This window comes from Homo sapiens, chromosome 22, assembly GCF_000001405.40.
Source record: "Homo sapiens chromosome 22, GRCh38.p14 Primary Assembly".
In the NCBI taxonomy this organism is placed as follows: Eukaryota; Metazoa; Chordata; class Mammalia; order Primates; family Hominidae; genus Homo; species Homo sapiens.
The window spans coordinates 36962812-36968811 of record NC_000022.11 but is presented as its reverse complement, the minus strand read 5'-3'; the positions used below and the strand labels follow the sequence as shown (position 1 = coordinate 36968811).

General features: G+C 44.9%; 1 long non-coding RNA gene across 1 annotated transcript; it reads right to left on the bottom strand.

The window, feature by feature from the left end:
- Positions 1-639: 639 nt before the first annotated feature.
- LL22NC01-81G9.3 (uncharacterized protein FLJ39582-like) lies at positions 640-3564 on the bottom strand. Its single transcript, NR_038954.1, has 4 exons — positions 3299-3564; positions 2305-2422; positions 1224-1644; positions 640-826 (listed from the first exon to the last, which is right to left on the bottom strand). It is a non-coding gene; the product is annotated as an uncharacterized protein FLJ39582-like (long non-coding RNA).
- Between the last annotated feature and the right edge of the window lie 2436 nt (positions 3565-6000).

The following is a 6000-nucleotide window of genomic DNA, read 5'->3' as shown; positions in this document are numbered from 1 at the left end:
AAGAAAGAAAAAAAAAGAAAGAAAGGAAGGAAGGAAGAAGAGGAGTAGGAGGAGGGGAAGAAGGAAGGAAGGAAAAGAAAAGAAAGAAAGAGAGAGAGGTGGGAGGAAGGTGGAAGAGAGAGAGAGAGAAGGTAGGCTGGCACTGAAATCTTAAAATCCTGGAGATGAATCTAATAAGAACCTAGGAAAAAGCTTTTAAAATTTGCTGAAGTAAAATTCCCAAAATAAGTGGAAATCCATAATTATTGGATCAAAAGAGCCAGTATTACAAAGTTGTCAAAACTGTCAGATCTTCCCAAATTAAGAATTAAATTTAGCGCAATTCCAATAAAAATTCTAAGAGGACATTTTTATGACTTGATAAATTGATTCTAACAATAATTTGGAGGAATAATAGCGTAATCGTGTCCAATAAAATGTTGAAAAGGAAGACTAATGAGTGAGGATGCCAAATATCAAAACACTCCATAAGTTATAGCAACTGGAAAAGCATGACGTAGTCATAGGAATACAGAAGTGTTCAGAGGAACAAATAAAAATTGTCTTAGTTAGCTCTCACTACACATTGAACCTAAGACCCCATGATACCAAAAGCATCAGAACTTTCTTCTTGTGCGAAGAGGGAATCATTCTTTCTTTCTTCTTCACTGTTGTCTTTTATTATTATTATTATTATTTTTAAAGCAGACTATGGCCTGTAATCCCAGCTACTCGGGAGGCTGAGGCTGGAGAATTCCTTGAACCTGGAACCGGGGAGGCGGAGGTTGCAGTGAGCTGAGATCGCGCTACTGCACTCCAGCCTGGGTGACAGAACGAGATTCCGTCTCTAAATAAATAAATAAATAAATAAATAAATAAAACTAAGCAGACTATGTCAAGGTCTTCATGCCCCTTCCCAGAAAAGCTTGCCTTGACTTTAACAAGAAAGAATTGTATAATGTCTGCAAGTTATTTGCTCAAAGTTGCCTTCTCAGAATTATGCTGAAAAGCCCTCTGTGCTTGGAATTCCACTTGCCTGCTGTGTATGTATGTATGTATATACTTCACTTAAAAATCAGAGGAAAGTGGCCGAGCACAGTGGCTCACGCCTGTAATCCAAGCACTTTGGGAGGCCAAGGCAGGCGGATCACTTGAGGCCAGGAGTTCAAGACCAGCCTGGCCAACTTGGTGAAACCCTGTCTCTACTGAAAATATAAAAATTAGCTGGGCGTGGTGGCGCACACCTGTAGGCTGGAGATATAGTAGGCATAATCCCAGCTACTCAGGAGGCTGAGGCAGGAGAATCACTTGAACCCGGGAGGTGGAGGTTTCAGTAAGCCAAGATCACGCCACTACACTCCAGCCTGGGTGACAGTGAGGCTGCCTCAAAAAAAAAAAAAAAAATTAGAGAAAAGTGATGGCATCATCATCCCAAGCGGTAAAAGACAATTGTGATTCAGTGTCACGTGGGCCTGGAAACTCCTCCATTTCTCCATTGGGCTGTTGCAGAGGCTCTCTTGCACATGGGCAGATACTGCTGGTGTTGCCATCGTGCAAAGGAGACGTGGTGTAAAGCCAGACTCTAAGAATGTCCAGGAGATTGAAGAATCCCACCTTCAAGCAGAGGTCTGGAAGCAGTGCTGGGATGTCTTGTCTGGATTGTGCCTGGCAATGTAATGAACAGGAAATAAAGAGACACGTTCTTTGATGAATCTCAGGCTCTTGGGGTTGCACAACCATTTCACGGGGATCAAGATGAATCACTTTGTCCTCTGTTCCAGCGAGGGGAGGCCTTCCCAACCTCAGCCAGCCCTAGGGGCACACCAGGAGCAGCAGAGAATGGCTTCCTAGAGCCCAGGCAGCCCCGGGATCCCAGAGAATGATGTTCTGGGCCTGGGAGGCAGATTTGGATCATGCCTGAGAATTCACCAAGCTGAGCCGCCCCCATGTAAGGCCACTGGGAATAATCCCAATAGTTTCCACTTGTCAGCCTCCAGTCAGAGGGAGTCTGCCTCTCATGGTCAAAGTTGCCAGGCCTGCAGACAAAACACTGGGGCAAGGCAGGTCCCCAAAGCCATCGTGGAGCAGGATTGGTCCAGGATGAAGCTTTCACTGCCCATTCATGGGAGGAGAAAACCCTGGAAAATGAAGGCAAGGAAAATGGCCAGCTGCCTCTGTTTGAAAAGGGCCATCCTGCGCGCTGAGATCAGAATTCTTTGATTACTTCGTTTGTATTAAAATGTCCCTTTTTACCAGCCTGGCCAACATGGTGAAACCCTATCTCTACTAAAAATACAAAAATTAGCTGCGCGTGGTGGCACACACCTGTAATCCCAGCTACTCGGGATGCTGAGGCACGAGAATTGCTTGAACCTGGGAGGGGGAGGTTGTGGTGAGCTGAGATCATGCCACTGCACTCCAGCCTGGGCAACAGAGTGAGACTCTGTCTCAAAAAACAAAAAATAAAATAAAGTAAAATAAAATAAAATAAAATAAAATAAAATGTCTTTTTTTTAAAGTAGAAAATGATGTTGATAGTAAATGATATTTTCTTTTTTATTTAAAAATAAAGTTGTATTTTTCTTTCTGTTTTTAAAAATTTTTTACTCATCAATATAATTGAAAACTGTCTAGAAACCACATCTGTAGAGGTAGGGAAACAGAGAAGTAAGTTGTAATCAAGAACAACAAGGTCTCCAATCTGAGCTTTGTAGAACAAACTCCAGCATGGGGAAGAAGGCAGGAACTCAGTTGTCAGAGGCCACACAGGGTGGCCCAGCTCTCAGAAGCAAGGGTGGGCCCAGGGATGAGGACAGAGGTTCAAGGAAGTATAGGCACAACTGTGACCCTGTGAACCCCTCCTTCCCCGGGTCAGGGCTGGTCCTGGAGCTGAGGATGGAGCTGAGCCTCCAGCCGGGCAGTGGGGGAGGGTGTCTCAGTCACAGAAAGAGGAAGACCCAGGAACAGGAGGCAGACAGGTCACCACTGAGAACAAGAGAGGCCTGGACAGGCAGATTCTGCAAGTGTGGCTCAAGGCATGCAGCTGCCTCTATTCCCCATTTTTGGCTCAGATGACCCCTTCCCATAAGCAACCATGTGTGTGGGCATTTCTCTGGCCTTAGCAGAACCAGTGGCCTAGGGCAAGGCCTCTTACAAGAGACAAAGTCACTGGGAGTAGGGGATAGGGGGCTGGGGGGTGGCCAAAGAGTCACATTCTGGCACGTGGAGCTTGAGGTATCTCGTCTCTGGAACATACAAGGAAAGAGGTTCTATAGGTCATTGAATTCATAGCTCTTAGGTTTGGGGGAAGAACACTTACTTAGGAAAACCTTTAGGTAAAACCTGAGAGAGCCTGCAAACTTGAAAGCAGAGCACGTAGACCGGGATGAGAAGAGGAGCCCTGGAGACCCCTGAGGACACTGGTGCCTAAGGGCCTGGCTGAGGTGCTCGGGAGGCCAGGAGGGGAACAGAGAAGGGAAAGTCAGAGCGGGAAGGAGAAAGCAGAGTGTGGTGGGAGGCATAAAAATGGAGAGACTTTTAAGGCTCTAGGAGTGGCCATGGTGCTGGTGTTGTGTCTGAGAGGTCAAGGCAGGGGTGAATCCATCTGGTTATGTGATGTGGAGCTCCTCTGTGATGCTGGCGGAAGACCATTCTAAAGCCAGGTCATAATAAATAGAGAGAGGAGTGAATAGGAAATGGGAATATGAAGACAGCTTTTTGGAAAAGCTTGATTAGAAAGAGGAGAAAGAGATGGTATGGAAGCCTAAGGTGGATACTTGATTGGGGTGAGGGAAGGGGGAGTTTTTTTTTTTAAGATGAAAGACAGTTGGTTATGTTTTCAGGTCCTAGGAAACATACCAGAAATTAACGAGATACAAGAAAAACAGGGAGTCTATTAATGGGGTGAGGAATGTGAGAGGGATAGACGCTGGCTCATACTTGGTGGCAGTGTAGGAAAGTTGAGAAACAGTGACTGGGAAACAGGGATTCTCTGAAGCTGGGTTTATTAATTCCAAATTGCCAAGTGTCTGTTGTTGGGGACATTTCTGACATTGTGAATGTGTGATCATGTGATCCCAGGTTACATCCAATCTAACCAGCAAACAAATGTCTGTCATAAGAACAAATGATTGACTGCTGCCTAACAAACCACCTCCCAAGCTTAATGGCTGAAAACAACAACCATTTATTATTTGTCACCATTCTGTGGGTTGGCTAGGCTCACCTGGGTGGTTCTTCTGCTCCACAAAGCAGGTGAGGTCATTCATGTGGCTGCATTTAGCTGGGAGCTTGACGAGGGTGGAGTGAGAGAGGGCTTCACTGGCTTATTCCCCTCCACATGGCTTCCCATCCTCCAGGGTTTCTGTCTCCACATGGCCTCTACAGTAGGAGAGCCTGGACTGCTTTACACCATGGCTGACTTCTAAGAGAGCAAAAGAAGCTGCAAGGCCTCTTAAGGCCTAGTCTCAGAAATCATATAGCTTCACCCCCACTGCCTTCTACTGGCCAAAGGAAGTCACAAGGAGGCCCAGACCCAAGGGGAGGGGAAAGAGATTCCACATCCTTATAGGAGGAGCTGCAAAGTCAGAAGGTGGAGGAGCATGCAGGATGAGAGGGACTGTGGTCACCAAGTTTGGAAACACCTGAGCAGAGTACATCTCAGGAGTCACTGTTCTAGCTGAAACTTCATTCTCAAACATAGGGAAGCATTTCAGATGCAATTTGCAGTAAACATATCTTATGCTTTTTAAACTGCTAAGTGAATGTGAATTAGATGGAAAAAATCATTTTAAATGAACATTATAATTATGCTTTTATTACATAAATGTGCATTTGTGGTAAAATTACAAACAGTGTTTTACAAAAAGGAAAAACGGAAGTCAATTGAAATTCCACTCCCTAAATGACATGCGCAGCAGGCATATAACCCCGCAGGCTCTTGGACTTACAAACAGAAACTCAATCTGTAATTCTTTCAGCCAGAAATCCCTTTTCTGACAAATTAATTCTTAAAAGATATATAGTCCTCTTTGAATAATCATTGAAAATCATTAAGTGGAACTTGAGACGTTATGGGAAAAGGAAAAGTTGTTGAGTTTAAACCTTATTTTCTGGATGTCTAGTATATGTCTGGGAGTATGGTAAGCTTTGAGGATTCAAAACTGCACAAAACCTACCTCACCTCTGCTCTCAAGCTGCTTATGGGACAATAGGAGAGACAGACACACAAAAAGAGAATTTCAGTTAATTGCGGTGGGAGCTACAGCAGAGGGGTGCACTGAATGCCAGAGGAGAGGAAAGGGAAGAGGAAGGGGAGGGAATAGGAAGGGGAGGGAAGAGGAAGGGGAGGGACGAGGAGGCAAGAGGAGAGAGAGAGCAAGTTTCTTGCCTGCACCTAAGGAGAGGGTCAATACACCAGGGCAAGAGGGAAAAAGGGAAAACATGAAGGAACACAGGCAGATGGAAAAAGAAATTTATGAAAGAAGAGTCTTTGATGCTACATTATGTCCCAGGTTTGGTTTTGTTTTTAAAATTTCCATATTCAAATTTTTTTCCTTTCTAAAAACTTGTTTTATTTTTAAGTAAAAATACCCCAAGCCACATGAATCATGGTTAGCTTAACAAATCATTGTAAGGCCAGGCAAGGTGGTTCATGCCTATAATCCCAGCACTTTGGAAGGCTGAGGTGGGAGGATTGCTTGAGGTCAGGAATTCGAGATCAGCCTGGGCAACATAGTGAGACCCCCCGTCTCTACCAAAAGAAAGTATTTAAATTAAATTTAAAAATAAATCATTGTAAGGTGAATATCCTTGGATGGCTCCCCGCCCTACACCCCGCACGGGAGACAGAACCTTGCCACCCATCCAGAGCCCTGCACTGCTCCCAGACAAACCTCCCAGTCCCCCAACCCAGGAATCCAGTGTGCTAATTTCCACGTCAGGGTCTCTTATTTTCTCACGTTATTTTATCACCCTGTGTGTATCTCTGAACACTGTCGCTTGGTGTTCCCTGTTTTTAAT